The following is a 20,888-nucleotide window of genomic DNA, read 5'->3' as shown; positions in this document are numbered from 1 at the left end:
CCAGATGTGGTGGCTCATGCCTGTAATCCCAGCATTTTGGAAGGCCAAGGTGGTGGATCACTTGAGGTCAGGAGTTCGAGACCAGCTTGGCCAACATGGCAAAACCCCTTCCCTACTAAAACTACAAAAATTAGCCAGGCACGGTGGCGCATGATTGTAATCCCAGCTACTCAGGAGGCTGAGGCAAGAGAATCGCTTGAACTGAGGAGGCGGAGGTTGCAATGAGCTAAGATCGCGCCATTGCACTCCAGCCTGGGTGACAGAGCGAGACTCTGTCACAGAAAAAAACAAAACAAACAAACAAAAATAAAACAATAATAGCAGCCAGGCACAGTGGCTCACACCTATAATCCCAGCACTTTGGGAGGCAGAGGAGCGCAGATCACGAGGTGAGGAGTTCAAGACCAGCCTGACCAATATGGTGAAACCCCGTCTCTACTAAAAGTACAAAAATTAGCCAGGCATAGTGGTGCCCACCTGTAGTCCCAGCTACTTGGAAGGCTGAGGCAGAAGAATTGCTTGAACCTGGGAGGTGGAGGGTGCAGTGAGCCGAATCTAACCACTGCACTCTAGCCTGGGCAACAGCACGAGACGCCATCTCAAAATAATAATAATAATAATAATAATAATAATAATAATAGCTACATTTATTGAGCACCACTCTAAATGCTTTTCATGGATTAACTCATTTAATCTTCACAACAACCCTATGCCGTGTTATTTCATCCATTTTTACAGACAAAGAAACTAAGACACAGAGAGGCTAAATAATTTACCAAAGTCCACAGATAGAAAGTAGAGATTCTGAAGCTTCTGAATTTCAAAAACCTCAATGATATTCTGATTTAATTGCTCTGGGGGTGGAACCAATACTCTTTAAAGCACCCCAAGCAATTCTAATGTGCAACTATGGTTAGGAAGAATTAAATCCATTAGCTAACTTTCCCCACCCTGAGAGAGAGTACATGGACATAGCCAAGGCAGGAGACATTTTAGTGAGGATTAAATATAAAACAAGCAACAAGGGTCAGAAAACATGATTTCCCAGGTGCTTTCCAACAGTGAAATTCTACCATTATCTGTTTCCACAGTCTTTCTAGAAGTCTAGGAGGTGTAATATTCCGTGTTACACCAGCTAGCAGATTCAATTCTAGTTCACTTTGGAGAAATCTGTCAGCTTATTTCTTTGGGATGGAGTTCCCAAAACAAGAATAGGGTAAAATATCCTAGCAGCTTATAATACAAGCCGAGTATCCCTTACCCAAATGCTTGGGAACAGAAGTGTTTCAGATTTCAGGCTTTGGAATATGTGCATTATACGCTTACTGACTGAATATGCCAAATCCGAAAATCCAAAACCTGAAATGCTCCAGTAAGCATTTCCTTTGAGCATCAACTCAGCACTCAAAAAGTGTCAAATTTTGGAGCATTTCAAATTTTGGATTTTCAGATTAGGGATACTCAACCTATACTAGAATACAATTATTTCAGAATAAAAAACACAGCCCTACTTTACAGAAAAAAGTAGCAAAAAGAGGGAAGAATTCAAGAGGCCAACCTAATATTTTGTAAAAGTATAACTGGATAAATGTTACTGAGCTGCCCAAAGACCACTTCTGTTGACTGGAGCTAAAGCCACAAAAAGATCCTAACCCTACTCTCCCCTGTATCCTGATGTGGATGCAGTCAGGTATGGCTCTATGGAGTCAGGAACTGCTGCCACAGTCAGCATGCAGAAGCCAAAGCAACGAGTGCTACCCAGCAAAGTTCAAGAAAGCTCAAGAAGTGACAGGAGGAAAACAAGCTGTCTTGGCTACAGCAGCAGGCTCTAGGAGGCCGGCCTCCAGCCCACTGCCTCATTTATCTCCCCTTCACAAGGAGAAGCCTGGACACACATGGGTCCCCAAAGCGGTGTTAATAGCTACCGCTCACACTGCTTCTTTTTGATCCTGCAGAATCAGAGCTCCTCAGTCTTCAAGGAGTTGGAACTATTGCAATTCCATCTCTTTCCAAAGCTATTCTCTGAAGCTTGGGAATCAACTTTAAAGAATCTTCCAAGGTGGGATATAGGAAAAACTATAAGTCAAATAAAAGTTGAAGATTGAACTCAGTGTCCTTAGACTTGGTGTTCTATGGAGTGGGCAACAAGCCAACTGGGTCTACCACTTTCAACACTGTATGCTACTTCCTAGAAGTGAGAGTTGCTTTAGGTAGTCTCCTCATCTAATTGTTAGAGATCCAATGGTCCAGCTACAAAAAACTGCCCATTCCTCCCCACGTCTCTCCCACTTCTATGCCTTTGCTCATGCTACCTGTACTATCAGGAATGCTCTTGCCCACATCCCTTTCTGAAACACTTCCACCCTTCTTTTAAAGACCTGCTCAAACCTCACTTCCTCTAAGATGCCCTCCCAGAGCCACCCCAACTCCTGTATTAATTTCATTTACACTCTGTTATAATATGGCATTCCTCACCCTTTGCCGTTTTTAGATAGCTTATACCTGTCTCCAACAAGAGATCAGGCCCTGGTGGACAATAATAAAGTTTCATAGATCTTTTCTATGCCTTTCAGCATCTTATATAAAGCAGAAATTCAGGAAATATTTGTTAAACAGAATTGGATTCAAGAAGCATTCAGAAGGCCAGGCACAGTAGCTCACACCTGTAATCTCAGCACTTTGCAAGGCTGAGGTGGGAGGATCACTTGAGCACAGGAGTTTGAGACCAGCCTGGGTAACATAGGGAAGATCCTATCTCTACAAAAAAATTTTTTTAATTAGCCGGATGTAGTGGTGCAGTGCCTGTGGTCCCAGCTAGTGGGGAGGTTGAGGTGGGAGGACCACTTGAGCCCAGAGGGTCAAGGCTACAGTGAGCCATGATCGCACTCCTGCACTTCAGCCTGGGTGACACAGCAAGACCTTATCTCAAAAAAAAAAAAAAAAAAGAAGAAGAAAGAGAGTGAAGCATTCAGAGATGCTGCTCTGCTAGTCTGACCTCAGTTTGCTATGGAACACAAGATGTTCTTTCTTCCTCTTTACATGTCTTCTTTTGTTAGTTTGCTTTGAAATAATTTTCCTATTTTCCTTCCTGTGATTTTTTTGATTTTTTAACTGAACATAATTCACATACCATAATATTTACCCTTTTAAAGTGTAGATTTTAGTATATTCACAAAGTTGTGTAATCATCACCTCTTTCTAATTCCAGAATGTTTTCATCATCCCAAAAAGAAAACCCATACTCACAGGCAGTCACTCTCCACCCCTAACCCCAAGCAACAACTTATCTACTCTCTGTCTCTGATATATAGGATTTTAACAAAGCTTACAGTAGGTGATCTCAATTGTGGTTTTATTATAACCTGAAGCCAAAATTTTATCTTCCAAAAAAAGAAAAGAGGAGGTTCTTATTTTATAAGTCAAAAGGAAAATGTGATTTGACACAGCATTCTGTTTTTATTTTGTTAAGCTTTTCATTGAAGAAGTATATGTATAGAAGTTTATATATTGGGCCGGGTGCGGTGGCTCATGCCTGTAATCCCAGCACTTTGGGAGGCCGAGGCAGGCAAATCACCTGAGGTCGGGAGTTCGAGACCAGCCTGACCAACATGGAGAAACCCCGACTCTACTAAAAATACAAAAAATTAGCCGGGCGTGGTGGCACATGCCTGTAATCCCAGCTACTAGGGAGGCTGAGACAGGAGAATCGCTTGAACCTGGGAAGCAGAGGTTGCGGTGAGCCAAGATCGCACCATTGCACTCTAGCCTGGGCAACAAGAGCAAAACTCCATCTCCAAAAAAAAAAAAGAAGTTTGTATAACGTAAGAGTACACCTCAATGAGTTTTCAAAAACTGAATGCTGTAGTCCCCCTTATCAGCAGGTAATACTTTCCAAGACACCCATGGATGCCGGAAACCACGGATAGCAATGAACCCTATATGTGCTATGTTTCTTTCCATATATATATATATATACACAAGTTTGATAAAGTTTAATTTATACATTAGGCAGAATAAGAGATTAACAATAACATAATAAAATAGAATAATTATAACAATATACTGTTAAAAATGTTATGTGAATGTGCCTTTTTTTTTTTTTTTTTTTTTTTTTTGAGACAGAGTCTTGCTCTGTCGCCCAGGCTGGAGTGCAGTGGCGTAATCTCGGCTCTGCAAGCTCCACCTCCTGGGTTCACCCCATTCTCCTGCCTCAGCCTCCCGAGTAGCTGGGACTACAGGCACCCGCCACCATGCCCGGCTAATTTTTTGTATTTTTAGTAGAGACGGGGTTTCACCACGTTAGCCAGGATGGTCTCGATCTCCTGACCTCGTGATCTGCCAGTCTCAGCCTCCCAAAGTGCTGGGATTACAGGCGTGAGCCACCGCGCCCGGCCTGAATGTGCCTCTTTCTCTCAAAATATCTTACTGTATTACACAAACTCACCAATTTTCAGACCGCAGTTGACCATGGGCAACTAAGACCGCAGAAAGCAAAACTGCTGACAAGGGGAAACTACTGTATACAAGTGTAGCCAACTCCCAGATTAAGAAACAGAACAGAAGCCCACTCCTTAACCACTCCCAAAGAATAACTAAGATTTTGACTTCTAACAGCAGAGAATAACTTTTATGCCTGTTTTTGTACATTTATGAATGAAAGCATATACTATTCGGTATAGAAAAGTTCTACATTGAAATTCTATGCCTTGTAATACTCACCATAATCTTCTTGTATAAAGCCATTACATTATCATCATCAAATGGTAGAAATCCACACATAAGAACATATAACAGTATGCCCATGCTCCAAACATCTGCCTGAGAGAAAGAGGGAAAAAGAAAAATTACTGAAACAAAAATTCAAACATATTTCAGAATGGTAGGACTCTTGATCCAATCACAGAATTGTCGCAAAGCTAAAAAAGAACTCAGATATCAACCATTTCAACCTGCTTATTCTATAGTCAGAGAACCTGAAGCTAAGGAGGCTTGCCTAAAGTCACCCAGTCAATTGGAGGCCACCCAGGAAGACCTCCTGACTTCCAATTTAATGCACTCTCCTCCAGCTGGACTCTAACACTTAACAGAAAATAATTTCCAGTAGGCTGGGCTGGATTGGACATGATAAGAAGATGAGACAATTCTACAGTGCTACTGAAGGTTTAGGTTACATATGAAGATTATGTAAACAGGCATGAGGATGTCTTAAAATTTATTGATAATCAGCAAGTATGACTAAGTTGTACTATAAAATTCTATGTAGAGAACTTTAATAAAGTTCAATGATTGACTTTTCAAATGTAGAGGTGGCCGGGCCTGGTGGCTCATGCCTGTAATCCCAGCACTTTGGGAGGCCAAGACGGGTGGATCACCTGAGGTCAGGAGTTTGAGACTAGCCTGGCCAACATGGTGAAACCCCGTCTCTCCTAAAACTACAAAAATTAGCCGGGCATGGTGGCGCATGCCCACAGTCCCAGCTACTCGGAAGGCTGAGGCAGGAGAATCGCTTGAATCCAAGAGTCGGAGGTTGCAGTGAGCCGAGATCACGCCACTGTACTCCAGCCTGGGCGACACAGTGAAACTCCATCTAAAAATATATATCATTTATTTATATATATTATATAGATTATTTATTATATATATTATATATGTATATATGTACATATATATGCATGCATGTCCATATATACATATATGCATACATGTATACATATATATGTCCATATATACATATACATATGTGTCCATATATACATATATGTCCATATATACACCTATACATATGTATATATTATATACACACCTATACATATGTATATATTATATATTATATACACACCTATACATATGTATATATTATATATTATATACACACCTATACATATGTATTTATTATATACACACCTATACATATGTATATATATACACACCTATACATATGTATATATTATATACACACCTATACATATGTATATATATACACACACCTATACATATGTATATATTATATACACACCTATACATATGTATATATTATATACACACCTATACATATGTATATATTATATACACACCTATACATATGTATATATTATATACACACCTATACATATGTATATATTATATATACATATAGACTAGAAATTAGCCTACCAGCACAAATAGTCCTACAAACCTCAAATATATATGTATATATACATAGAGAGAGAGAGAGACACTAGAAATTAGCCTACCAGCACAAATAGTCCTACAAATCTCAAAATCCCAGAAAAGAGCTTAACCTTTATATGTGATATCCATGTGTCCCATGAGTCCTAAGCAGTAACTATTTGTTCAAGCAGTATTTGGCCTTAGTCAGTAATGATGCCACCATTAGCTGAGGAGAAGTCACAGCTCTTACTCTCATTTGAGCCTTAGGAAATTTTTTTTTTTTTTTTTTAGAGACAGGGTCTCACTCTGTTGCCTAGGCTGGGGTGCAGTGGCACAATCTCAGCTCACTGCAACATTTGCCTCCCAGGCTTAGGCAAGTTTTAAGAGCAAAAAAAGAAAAAGAGGAAAGAAGGAAAGGAAGGAAGAAAACAAAGAAAGAAAAGAAAGAGAAAACAGTTAAAATAACTTGAGCAGCATCACATATCTGGGTAGTACTTATACTAGATAAGCCAAATCTAACCCCTAGTCCTGTCTACCAAATCATATCAAATTATTAGGACTCTACTATGACGTCTCAAGTGAACAATTTGCTTTGAAGCAAACACTTGATTACTCTTCCAAGTTGCAGGAGGTCAGAAATTGACCATTTACGCCTCCGAGATGTCAAATATTTAATCTATAAATTGAGACATGATGGTATGACACTCATTCATGGTATTAAATTCAAAGCAGATCAGGTGCAGTGGCTCACACCTATAATCCCAGCACTTTGGGAGGCCAAAACCAGCCACCTCCCACCTGAGGTCAGGAGTTCAAGACCAGCCTGGTCAACATGGTAAAACTCCATCTCTACTAAAAATACAAAATTTGGCCGGGTGTGGTAGTGGACACCTGTGATACCAGCTACATGGGAGGCTGAGGCAGGAGAATTGCTTGAACCCGGGAGGTAGAGGTTGAAGTGAGCTGAGATCACACCATGGCACTCCAGCCTGGGCAACAGAGCGAGACTCCATCTCAAAAAAAATTCAAAGCAAAGAGGTTGCACAGGAAAGAGTGAACTACATGGTGGTTCATGCCTGTAATCCACACTTTGGGAAGCAAGGTAGGCAGATCACCTGAAGTAGGGAGTTCAAGACCAGCAGGGCCAACATGGTGAAACCCTGTCTCTACTAAAAAGATAAAAAAATTAGCCAGGTGTGGTGGTGCATGTCTGTAATTCCAGCTACTCAGGAGGCCATTGCACTCCAGCCTGGGGGACAAGAGCAAGACTTCGTCTCAAAAAAATAAATAAATAAATAATGGCTGGGCGCAGTGGCTCACACCCATAATCCTAACACTTTAGGAAGCCAAGGCGGGCAGATCACCTGAGGTTGGGAGTTCAAGACCAGCCTGACCAACATGGAGAAACCCCGTCTCTACTAAAAATACAAAATTTGCCAGGCGGCGTGGTACATGCCTATAATTCCAGCAATTCGGGAGGCTGAGGCAGGAGAATCGCTTGAACTCGGGAGGTGGAGGTTGCAGTGAGCCAAGATCACGCCATTGCACTCCAGCCTGAGTGACAGAGTGAGACCCTGTCTCAAAAAAAAGGGTCAGGCATGGTGGCTCACGCCTGTAATCCCAGCACTTTGGGAGGCCAAGGTGGGCGGATCAGCTGAGGTCAGGAGTTCGAGACCAGCCTGGCCAATATGGTCCTGTTGGACTCAAGCAGTCCTTCCACTCCCACTCAATCCCACCAGGGTTGAGTCAAACCCTGTCTCTACTAAAAATATAAAAATTAGCAGGGCATGGTGGCATGTGCCTGTAATCCAAGCTACTTGGAAGGCTGAGGAATGAGAATCGCCTGAACCCAATGAGAATCGCCTGAACCCGGGAGGCAGAGGTTGCAGTGAGCCGAGATTGCACCATCGCACTCCAGCCTGGGGGACAAGAGCGAGACTTTGTCTCAAAAAAAAAAAAAAAAAAAAAAAAAAAGCCCGGGCGCGGTGGCTTACACCCATAATCCTAACACTTTGGGAAGCCGAGGTGGGCAGATCACCTGAGGTTGGGAGTTCAAGACCAGCCTGACCAACATGGAGAAACCCCGTCTCTACTAAAAATACAAAATTTGCCAGGCAGGGTGGTACATGCCTGTAATTCCAGCAATTCGGGAGGCTGAGGCAGGAGAATCGCTTGAACTCGGGAGGCAGAGGTTGCAGTGAGCCAAGATCACACCATTGCACTCCAGCCTGGGCAACAAGAGCGAAACTCCGTCTCAAAAAACAAACAAACAAACAAAAAAACACACAAGAAGTCAACAGAAAGATTATGTCTAGGGTTAAACTTAAAGAGGAATAAAATGATAATAACATCCCCATAGTGCTACCAACACTTATTAGAAAAAAGAAAGCAGAAAAAGCATTTTTCAGTTAACTGAAAGTACCTTTACTTCGCTGTTTTGAATTGAATATGAGAATAAATTAACTAAAATCATAAAAAAACCAAAGCAAATGCAAGTAAATCCATAAACTACCAGTTGACATGAAAAAATAACTGGCTCCCAGCACTTTGGGAGGCCAAGGCGGGAGGATCACTTAGGCCCAGGAGTTCAAGACCAGCCCCAGAAACATAGCAAGACCCTATCTCTACAAAGAAATTTTAAAAATTAGCCAGGTGTGGTAGTGCACACCTGTAGTCCCAGCTACTTGGGAGGCTGAGGTGGGAGGACTGCTTGAGTCTAGGAGGTAAAGGCTACCGTGAGCCATAGTCATGCCACTGCACTTCAGCCTGGGAGACAGAGTGACACCCTGTCTCAAAAAAAAAAAAGATAAAATAATTGGGAGGAAGAGAGAACTGAAACCATTTCCCATGAAAAATTACTGAAGAAATTAGAGATATTTACAATGGAACATGTCCTTAAAGCATGATCAGGACTGTGAACATCAGAATCAACTATTTTATTAGTATTTTAAATGAAGATTCTTAAAGCCCCATCTCAGAAAACGAAACCAAAATCTCTGAGGGAGTTACCACCCTGAGCTCTGCATCATTTAGTAAGTATCTCAAATGACTCCTCAGTCCACTATCCTTTAGACACTCTGAGAAGGACAGGAAGTTGAACTAACACGGACAAGAAAACAATTTAAAATTACATAGGAAAAACCCAGATACACTCAAATCAGCAGATTCTCATCACCTCTAGGAATCTTGTGAGATCAGGCATACGATTATCACTCCTTCTGGGAAACTAAATGGAATAGTGGAAACAGTACCTCACTCCACTCAAATCTCACTCAGTCACCAGCTGTGTGACCCTGCAAAGGCACCAAATTTCTGAGCCTCAGTTTCTTCATCTTCTTTATCTTATGGGATAGGGTAACAGTATTCACTAAAAAGGATGTCTGTGGCCAGGCGTGGTGGCTCATGCCTGTAATCCCAACACTTTGGTAGGCCAAGGCAGACGGATCACCTGGGGTCGGGAGTTAGAGACCAGCCTGACCAACATGGAGAAATCCTGTCTCTACTAAAAATACAAAATTAGCCAAGCATGGTGGCACATGCCTGTAATCCCAGCTACTCTGGAGGCTGAGGCAGGAGAATCGCTTGAACCCAGGAGGCTGAGGTTGCGGTGAGCCAAGATCATGCCATTGCACTCCAGCCTGGTCAACAAGAGCAAAACTCCATCTCAAAAAAAAAAAAAAAAAGTCTGTAGAGCTTAATTGAAAATTATTAAAGGTATCCAGCATGTGAAACTCTTTTTTTTTTTTTTTTTTTTTGAGACAGTCTTGCTCTGTCACCCAGGCTGGAGTGCAATGATACAATCTCGGCTCACTACAACCTCTGCCTCCCAGGTTCAAGCGATTCTCCTGCCTCAACCCCCAAGTAGCTGGGATTACAGGTGCGCATCACCATGCCTAGCTAATTTTTATATTTTTAATAGAGACAGGGATTCATCATGTTGGCCAGGCTGGTCTCAAACTCCTAACCTCATGATCCGCCCACCTCAGTCTCCCAAAGTGCTGGGATTACAGGCATGAGCCACCGCGCCCAGCCCATGTGAAACTCCTGTACACTGTTGGTGAAAATGTAAGATGGTGCACTCACTATGGAAAACAGTATGGAGATTCCACAAAATATTAAAAATAGAATTACAATATGATCCAGCAACTCCGCTTCTGAATATATACCCAAAAGAATTGAAAGCAGGATCTGAAAGAGATACTTGTACACTCATATTCCTATCAACATTATTCACAGGTGCCAAAAGGTGGAAGCAATTTAAGTATCTACCAATGGATGAATGAATAAACAAAATGTGGTATATACATACAATGGAATATTATTCAGCCTTATAAAGAAAGGAAATTCTGATACATGCTACAACATGCATGAACCTTGAGGACATTATGCTAAGTGAAATAACCAGTCACAAAAAGACAAATATTGTATGATTCCATTTACATGAAGTTCCTAGATTAGTCAAATTCATAGAGACAGAAGGCAGAAGGGTAGTTGCCAGGGGAATAGGGTAGGCAGAAATGAAGAATTGTTTAACAGGTATAAAGTTTCAGTTTTGCAAAATTAAAAGAGCCCTGGAGGTCGGTTGCACAACAATGTGATTGTATTTCAGTACTACTAAACTATACATTTTAAAACAGTTAAGATGGTAAATTTTATGTTATGTGTATTTTACCACAATTAAAAATAAAAAGTATCCAGCATGATTCCAGGACTATGATAAACGTTCAGAAAACATTTGGTCCCTTTCCTATAATGCACTAAGAAGGCTACAACATCATTTTTGTGGTATTTCTGCCAAAAATACATAACCTGAATCTAATCATAAAGAAACATTAAATAAATTCAAATTGATGTACATTCTACTAAATAACTGGCTTCTTCAAAAATGCTGAGATCAAAAAAAATAAAGAAAGCCTAAGGAAGTCTTCCAGATTAAAAGGGACTAAAGAGACACAATAACTAAATGCAATAACTAAATGCATCCTGCACCATATCCTAGACTGGGGGGAAAATAAAACTATAAAGGACATTATTGGTACAATTAATACCATTTGAATATGAATTATGAATTAAATAAATTGTATCAATGTTAAATTTTGATACTAAAGTGTGGTTATAAAAGAAAAGGTCTTTGCTTTTAGGAAAAATATATATAGAAATATTGAGTAATAAAAGGATATGATATTTCTAGCTAACTCTCAAATGATTCAAAAAAAAACATGCATATATATAAACATAGAGAATGATAAAGCAAATAAGGAAAAATGTAAATAACTGTGAATTTGAGTAAAAGATATACCAAAGTTCCTCATTCTATTCTTGCACTATCTTGTAAGTTAGAGATTATATCAAAATAAAAAGTCACCGGAAACAGTTCCCATCTTCTCATTTTATGAAGTAACCTGGTATTCCCAAAGTTCCTTATGCTAGTTCCAAAAGATGCTCTCCATCAAAAGTGGATCCCATAGGCAAATAAAATCAGAACCAGCTGTTATCTGTGATGTTCCTTTCCTGAAGGATCACACTGTACAAGAGCACATTAAAGATTTGGAGGCCAGAGCCGGGCACGGTGGCTCACTCCTGTAATCCCAGCACTTTGGGAGGCCGAGGCAGGCGGATCACGAGGTCAGCAGATCGAGACCATCCTGGCTAACATGGTGAAACCCCATCTCTACTAAAAATACAAAAAAAAGTAGCCAGGCGTGGTGGCGGACGCGTGTAGTCCCAGCTACTCGGGAGGCTGAGGCAGGAGAATGGCGTGAACCCAGGAGGCAGAGCTTGTAGTGAGCGGAGATTGTGCCACTGCACTCCAGCCTGGGCAACAGAGTGAGACTCCATCTCCAAAAGAAAAGAAAGATTTGGAGGCTGGGCGCAGTGGCTCATGCCTATAATTGGGAGGCTGAGGTGGGTGAATCATTTGAGGTCAGGAGTTTGAAACCAGCCTGGCCAACATGGTGAAACCCGTCTCTACTAAAAACACAAAAATTAGCCAAACGTGATGGCAGTTGCCTGTAATCCCAGCTACTTGGGAGGCTGAAGGAGAATCGCTTGAACCCAGGAGGTGGAGGTTGCAGTGAGCCAAGATCGCGCCACTGCACTCCAGCCTGGGTGACAGAGTGAGACTCCGTCTCAAAAAAAAAAAACAAAACAAAACAAAAAAAGATTTGGACATGTCCTGAAATAGGAAACCTGTTTGAGCACTTCCTGAGCTTTTCACAACTAAAGTGTTTTTTTAATCTTATGACACTCACATCAGCAAAACTAGTACTCCAGAGAATGAGAGGAGCTAATTTGATAATTTGAGATACAGCAAATATAAATCAGGCAAATCCCACTCCTTCTCAGCCTGGACTCCTACACAGGGCTGCTGGCCTTGGAGAGTCAGCTCTGGATGGACGAAGCACAGGTTTTCTCTGTGCTAACCAGCATCTCTGAAACTGAGCCTGGAACCTTCGTCTTTTGTTCTATCCAGCTAGACTAACCAGTCCAAACTATGGCACTATTTAATACAAAAGCAGCCACAACAAGGACACCAGAAATATCCCTGCTTCATAAGTATATGTTACTATATTTATTGCAAGTTATTAATTTCATTTATAAGTAATCATGTCTCACTCTCCAAATAGACTGAACTCTGATTAACAAGATTATTTCTTACTTCATCATTATACCCCCAACGCACAGTGCCTGACTCACTACAGGTGACCAATATAAATGTCTGCTGATTATATAATGAATTAATCAATGAATAATTACCTCTGATCCAAGATATGATTTGCCTTGTATTAACTCAGGTGCTGCATAAGCCAGACTCCCACAGCATGTCTGTAGATGGTAATCCTTGTTACCCTGCCAATAAGATAAAAATGAAACTTATTAATTACAACGCTTAAGAGAATTAAACCTTGATAAACATTCTTTTTTTTTTTTTTTTTTTTTTTTGAGACGGAGTCTCACTCTGTCACCCAGGCTGGAGTGCAATGGCGCAATCTCGGCTCACTGCAACCTCTGCCTCCTGGGTTCAAGTGATTCTCCTGCCTCAGCCTCCAGAGTAGCTGGGATTACAGGCACGCAGCGTGCCACCATGCCCAACTAATTTTTGTATTTTTGGTATAGACGGGGTTTTGCCATGTTGGCTGGGCTAGTCTTGAACTCCAGACTTCAGGTGATCCACCCGCCTCGGCCTCCCAAAGTGCCGGGATTACAGGCAATGAGCCACCACGCCTGGCCGATAAAAATTATTTGAGCACAAGCAAAGAGAAGCTAGATGAAAAACCACCCCACATAATAAAGGATTTCTGCAGCCAACACAATACTCTGTATACATGTGTGCATGCACGTGTGGTCTCTGCTTCTCTGGATTCCCAACACCACTACAACCTGGCATGAACAAATCCTTTCCCCTTAGCTCAGTCAAATCAGGTTCATACTTCCCTAAATACCCACATACATAAATAAGCCCAGCATATATCCAAGCATCCACGTCTTTCCATCCCCAAGTATCCCGGGGGGAAAAATTTATTTACTGGACCTTATCTCCAGTATGAAATCTTCACAAATACAGAAGAGCTCTATTTTCTTAGAGGGAAAAAAGCAATATGTTACATAGAACAGTGCCTTGAAAGTCTGTTTTCTAGATGCAGTTATAAATCACTCCCTTAGCTTCCAGTTCTGTTAAAATGAGTAATCTGCTCATCCTCCTCTGCCCTCCCACAGAAATACCAAGACATAATGAAAATAAAGCTACAGTCCAACAGCTGTATAGAGTTCTTACAGCTGGCAAAGGATTTGTGAATTGTGAGATGTCATTTACAACTGAAACAACATGCCCAGGAGTGTGCTCCTTGGAAGAAGGCTGAGGCAATCCTCTCCCAGGCAACCCCACTTTCCTTAGATGGTGTCTATGTGTGTAATCCGTGGCAGCCATAAATGAAGGCTCACAGGGTCTGTCACAAACCTTCTCCACTGCCTCCCATGGAGAACAACTTAAACCAGTTTATCTGTTCAAAGTATGTTTTTTCTTTATATGTTTGTCAATCAAAAAAAAAAAAAAAAACCTGCCTTCTAGCATTTGGTTCCCAGAAAAAAGGTTCCACTTATAGTTTCTAAAGAGCCAAGGGAAGGAGAGAAGAATCAGAAAGAATCAGACTTTCTGCCAAAGGGGCAAAATCTGCTTCCCTTTGCACCTAGCTAATTCTGATCAGGGCAGGAAACAGTTATGGGATTACCAAAGCCCGAGACAAGTCTGCAATTTCAACATTCTTAATGAGTGTAGACAGCTCATTTTAGAGATTGTGAGTACCATGATTAGAGAACTCCAGAGGAAGCTTCCAACAGGCAGCCACACAGGAGATCTGCTGCAGACAGCAGAGCCAGAAAGTTCAAAGTCACCTCAAAGAGAAGTTATGCTGGAGAACACCAATACATAACCATGGAATGCAAATTAAGGAAATATATAACAGTTATAAATTTAGAAGTGCATATGGGCTTTTTCCTTCTTTTAAAAGGAAAGCGGATTGTTTCTCAAAATGTAACTAATTGTTAGTTATAGAACCATTTGGATAACAGATTTGCACTAAATTCTCAACTTTTATCTAAACAAACAAAGGCATCATCTAGTGGCAATATACTCAAACTGCAAGCACTGGTCAAGTCAGCATTCTTGCTGTAATAGCCTCAAGTCACCTCTGCACTGCAAATTCTCACAGCATACCCATGGAGTCTTCAGCAGGACCAATCCTAGAACTAGGGCAGTGACTCTCAATCTTGATTGCATGTTATGATCATCTAGAGAACTTACAAAAACTACCCATACCTGGGATGAAATTTAACATTCTTCTCAATGGATGCAACCAAGCTCAATAAAGAATAAGTGGAAGTCAGGACAAAATCACACACTAAGAAATAAATGCATTTACAAAGAACATAGATGCATCTTATTTCTGCACTTACCTTGGGTTTTGCACAGAGACCAAAGTCAATCAGCTTTAATTTATGATATTCATCAAACAGCAAATTTTCCTGGGAAAACAAAGATATTTTGATAACTGTATACTGACTTCCTTATATCACATCCCACCTCTAGCCATTTCTAAAAATGACTTAAGGCCAGGTGTGGCAGCTCATGCCTGTAATCCCAGCACTCTGAAGGCAGATGAGAGAGGATTATTTGAGCCCAGGTGTTCAAGACCAGCCTGGGCAACACAGAAAGACCTGGTCTCACTTTTTAAAAATAAATAAATTAATTAAAATGAGTAAAAATGATTTAAGGTTGTTTCTGTTAAAAAGTCCGGGTACAACAAACTGAAAATGACTAGAAACTAACGAAATGACAAGAAGTATATAAGGGAAAAGAAGGGCTGGGCACAATGGCTCACGCCTGTAATCCCAGCACTTTGGGAGGCTGAGGCAGGCACATCACCTGAGGTCAGGAGTTCGAGACCAGCCTGACCAACATGGAGAAACCCCGTCTCTACTAAAAATACAAAATTAGCTGAGCATGGTGGCGCATACCTGTAATCCCAGCTACTTGGGAGGTTGAGGCAAAAGAACTGCTTGAGCCCGGGAGGCGGGGGTTGGGGTGAGCCGAGACAGTGCCATTGCACTCCAGCCTGGGCAACAAGAGCGAAACTCCATCTCAAAAAAAAAAAAACAAAAAAAACAAAAAAAACAAAAAAAACAAAAAGGGCCGGGCGCAGTGGCTCACGCCTGTAATCCCAGCACTTTGGGAGGCCTAGGCGGGTGGATCACGAGGTCAGGAGATCAAGACCATCCTGGCTAACACGGTGAAACCCCGTCTCTACTAAAAATACAAAAAAAATTAGCCGGGCGTGGTGGCAGGCGCCTGTAGTCCCAGCTACTCAGGAGGCTGAGGCAGGAGAATGGCGTGAACACGGGAGGCAGAACTTGCAGTGAGCGGAGATCGCACCACTGCACTCCAGCCTGGGCGATCACTCTATCACTTCCCCATAAGACTCACTAGCATAAACCATTTTCTCCTATTTTCTCCTTGGTGTTCTGAGAGTCAACTACAAGCAAACACAATTTGTGCCAAAAGCAAATTTAAACCAAAAGAGTGAGTTGAAATCGACGAGTTCAGTATAAACAGATGGAAAAAGATAGTTTCCGGCCAGGTACCCTGGCTCACGCCTGTAATCCCAGCACTTTGGAAGGCCAAGGCAGGCGCATCACTTGAAGTCAGGAGTTTGAAACCAGCCTGGCCAACATGGCAAAACCCCAGGCCTACTAAAAATACAAAAATTAGCCGAGAGTGGTGGCAGGCACCTGTAATTCCAGCTACTCAGGAGGCTAAGGCAAGAGGATCACCTTAACCTGAGAGGCAGAGGTTGCAGTGAGCCAAGATTGCGCCACTGCACTTCAGCCTGGATAACAGAGCAAGGCTCAGTCTCAAAAATAAAAATAAAAATAAATAAATACATACATACATATATAAAATAAAAATACAGAAAATTAGCCAGGCATGGTGGCATACGCCTGTAGTCCCAGCTACTTGGGAGGCTGAGGTGGGAAAATCACTTGAGCCTAGGAGGTTGAGGCTACAGTGAGCCCTGATCATGCCACTGCACTCCAGCCTGGGTGACAGAGTGAGATCTTGCTTAAAAAAAAAAAAAAAAAAACAAGACATTTATAAAGTCACACACAATTGACAGATACACAGAATGCTCATAAATGCATCCAAAAAGCCTACCAAGGCCAGGAGCGGTGGCTCATACCTGTAATCCCAGCACTTTGGGAGGCCAGGGCGAAAGAATAGCTTGAGGTCAGGAGTTCAAGACCAGACTGGCCTGGCCGGGCGCGGTGGATCACACCTGTAATCCCAGCAATTTGGGAGGCCGAGGTGGGCAGATCACAAGGTCAGGAGATTGAGACCATCCTGGCTAACACAGTGAAACCCTGTTTCTACTAAAAAATACAAAAAATTAGCCGGGTGTTGTGGCAGGCGCCTGTAGTCCCAGCCACTCGGGAGGCTGAGGCAGGAGAATGGCGTGAACCCAGGAGGCGGAGCTTGCAGTGAGCCGAGATCGCGCCACTGCACTCCAGCCTGGGCGACGGAGTGAGACTCCGTCTCCAAAAAAATGACCAGACTGACCAACATGGTGAAACCCCATCTCTACTAAAAATAAAAAAATTAGCCGGACATGGTGCCCTGTGCCTGTAATCTCAGCTACTCAGAAGGCTGAGGCAGGGGAACTGCTTGAATCCGGGAGGCGGAGGTCGCAGTGAGCCGAGATCACACCACTGCACTATAGCCTGGGTGACAGAGTGAGACACCACCTCCAAAAAAAAAAAAAAAAAAAGTAAGAGGAAAAAAGAAATCTGATAGGTATGACTGGAGCAACAACAACAAAAAGCAAACCAAAGATAGATTCCTAATCAGATCATTTGTAAACCTAAAAATAACAGGTAAATGACGCTGAAGGTGAGCATCTAACTGTGATGCAGTCACTTACTGGCTTGAGGTCCCTGTGAGCATAGCCCTGGCTGTGCACATAAGCAACAGCAGATACTATCTGACGGAAGACAACCCGGGTCTCCTCTTCTGACAGGCGATCCTGGGAAATTATATAGTCAAACAGCTCTCCTCCAGGGCAGTACTTCAACAGCAATGGAATCACAGATATTGTTACAACTTAAAAAATCACTTCACAGAAATTTAAAATAAAAAAGTACACTTAACTCAGAGATATTATTAATTCGACTTTATAGGGAATGGAACCGAGTAAGGTATATTCAAAAGTACACTCTCAGGATCAAACAAGTCAATAATGACTCCAGGAATGAGAACAATAACTCTTTCTTCGAACAGTTTTATTACCAGTAAGTAGAAGTAAAACCAACTACCACTGTGATTTTAAAAAGCTCACCCAGGGTTTTATATTTTTATAGCAAAGTATTAAAAGCCATTCTCATCTTAATGTACTCTCATTCAGTGTAATTACCTGAAATTTAAAAAGCCAGCAGTAATTATTGTTTCTCTATCCCAAAGACCAGTGGTTTTCAATCTGTACCAGAAGGAGCCCAGGTCTACAGAGGTATCTCAGAGGCTGCAGAACAGGTACCAGAGCACAAAGCTCAAGGCTTTCCATCCCTTTCCCAGGGCACAGAAAACTTTCTCCACTTTTCTGTGAGCTGGGTTTCCATTTTAGCAATATCAATTAAAATTACAAATGCATATAGACTTGACCTCACAGTTCCACATTTAGTTACTGCTCTTATAGATGTACTCACTCATATCAAAAAACAGTACTTTGGCCAGGCGCCGTGGCTCAGGCCTGTAATCCCAGCACTTTGGGAGGCCGAGGTGGGTGGATCAGGAGTTCGAGACCAGCCTGGCCAACCCGTCTCTACTAAAAATACAAAAAATTAGCCAGGCGTGGTGGCGGGCGCCTGTAATCCCAGCTACTCAGGAGACTGAGGCAGGAGAATCGCTTGAACCCGGGAGGCAGAGGTTGCAGTGAGCCAAGATTGCACCACTGCACTCCAGCCTGGGTGACAAAGTGAGACTTCGTCTCAAAAAACAAACAACAACAGCAACAACAACAACAACAACAAAAAACGTACCTTAAAGATCATTTACTGCAGCAGCAGTGTTTGTAAAAGCAAAAGACTAGAAACAACTGTCTTAGTCCATTTGGGCTGCTATAACAAAATACCTTACGCTGGGTAATTTATAAACAACAGAAATGTATTGCTCACATTTCTGGAGGCCGGGAAGTCTAACATCAAGGTGCCACTAGATTCAGTGTCTAGTGAGGTTCTGTTGCTCACAGTTGGCATGTGCTATGTATTCTCATATGGTGGAAGGGAGCAAACAGGCTCCCTAAAGCCTCCTGTATAAAGGCACTAATCCCATTCATAAGGGCTCTGCCCTCATAACCTAATCACCTCCTTAAAGGGCCCCACCTCTTAATACTATCACACTGGGGATTAAGTTTCAACATACGAATTTGTGGGGAATAACAGCATTCAGACCTAAATGCTGATACTATATAAACTATGACACGGAATGGAATTCTAGGCAATAATTAAAAAAAAAAAAAAAAAAGAGGAAGCTCTTTACAAACTGATATGAAACAATGTCCAGTACTAAGTTATTAAGACTATAGATTGATATAGTGGCTTACAAAAGTATTATGCTGAGCAAAAGAAGCCTAACAAAAGAATAAGCAAAAGAATACTGTATGAGTCATTTACATCATAGTCTAGAATAGATTAAACTGATCTGCTGTGATAGAAATCAGATGAGCAGTTGCTGGTAAGGGCAGGGTGGCTATGGTTACAGGGAAAACTTCAAAAGGGCTGGAGAAAACTTTCTGAGGTGATAGAGATGTTTTATACTTTGGGGTGGGAGGTACATGGGTATATACATTTGTCAAACTGCATACCTAATGTGTACATTTTATTATATGTAAATTTATACCTCAATAGGAAATGTTTTAATGTTATACAGTAAGTTTTACAAAAAGAAAACAGCCTACTTCATATTTTCAAATAAAGAAATACAAAATAAAGAGAAATAAAAATGTCTAAAATATCTGAATGTGCTCAGATGGTCTCTAAGATCAATTGTTACCTGGGAAAAAAACAAGGTGCAAAGTAATAATTTGTGACCATTTGTGTCACACCATGTGTGTGTAAGCTACACACACACACATATAAAATACACATACGTATAAAATATATGTAGGTATCTACAAGAGACACAAGAAAAGTACATGAATGGCTCAGAGAAAAGAAAATTTGAGGGCCGGGCGCGGTGGCTCACTCCTGTAATCCCGAGCACTTTGGGAGGCTGAAGTGGGCAAATTGCCTGAGGTCAGAAGTTTGAGACCAGCCTGGCCAACATGGTAAAACTCCGTCTCTACTAAAAAATACAAAAATTAACCGGGGGTGATGGCACGTGCCTACAATCCCAGCTACTCAGGAGGCTGGGGCAGGAAAATCACTTGAACCCGGGAGGCGGAGGTTGTAGTGAGCCAAGGTTACGCCATTGCACTCCAGCACTCAAGACAGTGTGAGACTCCGTCTCAAAAAAAAAAAAAAAAAAAAGAAAAGAAATGTGATGACTAGGGTGGGGCATAGTTGCTCACGCCTGTAATCCCAACATTTTGGGAGGCCAAGGAGGGAAGATCGCTTAAGGCCAGGAGTCCAAGACCAGCTTGGGCAACAGGCCAAGACCCCCATTTCTATTAACAATATAATAAAATTTAAAAATTAAAGAATATTGGATGACTGGGATGTAGGGGAAAGAGAGGATTTTGTTTTTTAATATATACTCCCTGTACCTTTTTTTTTTGAGACAGGGTCTCACTCTGTTGCCAAGGCTGGAGTGCAGTGGTGCAATCATAGCTCACTGTAGCCTATATCTCCCAGGCTCCTCACCTGAGCCTCCCAAGTAGCTGGGACTACAGGTGTGCACCACCATACCCAGCCTTTTTTTCTTTTTTTATTTAAGTAAAAACAAGGTCTCACTATGTTGCTCAAGCTAGTCCCGAACTCCTTAGCTCAAGTGATCTTCCCACCTTGGCCTCCCAAAGTGCTGGGATTACAGGCACGAGACACTGCACCCGGCCACTCTCTTGTACCTTTTAAATTTTCTCCTAGGTTCATGGATGCTTGGGAGATTTTAACAATTCTTTTTCTTTTTTGAGACAGAGTCTCGCTCTGTCACCCAGGCTGGAGTGCAGTGGCATGATCTCAGCTCACTGCAAGCTCTG

At 41.8% G+C, this 20,888-nt stretch overlaps 1 protein-coding gene across 53 annotated transcripts in view, besides 1 other annotated feature; it reads right to left on the bottom strand.

Annotated features, from left to right (window-relative positions):
• Positions 1–20,888, bottom strand: part of MELK (maternal embryonic leucine zipper kinase) — a 104,788-nt gene that overhangs the window by 65,290 nt on the left and 18,610 nt on the right. For 29 of the 53 annotated variants that reach the window (XM_011518076.3, XM_047424171.1, XM_047424168.1 and 26 more), the window contains 4 exons: positions 17,622–17,765; positions 15,103–15,171; positions 12,907–12,999; positions 4,720–4,818 (listed from right to left, as the gene is read on the bottom strand). In XM_011518076.3, coding sequence (XP_011516378.1) covers positions 4,720–4,818; positions 12,907–12,999; positions 15,103–15,171; positions 17,622–17,765 — 405 coding nt within the window. Of the gene's footprint in view, positions 1–4,719; positions 4,819–8,280; positions 8,404–12,906; positions 13,000–15,102; positions 15,172–17,621; positions 17,766–20,888 lie in introns of all 53 variants that reach the window. The other 24 variants (XM_047424173.1, XM_047424192.1, XM_047424185.1 and 21 more) reach the window with 4 other exon arrangements.
• Positions 15,801–15,968: a silencer, noted in NCBI's record as "fragment chr9:36596422-36596589 (GRCh37/hg19 assembly coordinates)". NCBI's record gives its function as "represses an EF-1alpha promoter that drives an FKBP-Casp9 reporter gene in an ReSE screen in K562 erythroleukemia cells {active_cell/tissue: K562}" and the evidence as "EXISTENCE:reporter gene assay evidence [ECO:0000049][PMID:32094911]".

Source organism: Homo sapiens, chromosome 9, assembly GCF_000001405.40.
Source record: "Homo sapiens chromosome 9, GRCh38.p14 Primary Assembly".
Taxonomy (NCBI): Eukaryota; Metazoa; Chordata; class Mammalia; order Primates; family Hominidae; genus Homo; species Homo sapiens.
Note: the sequence above shows the minus strand (reverse complement) of the source record. Positions and strands in the feature narration are given on the sequence as shown.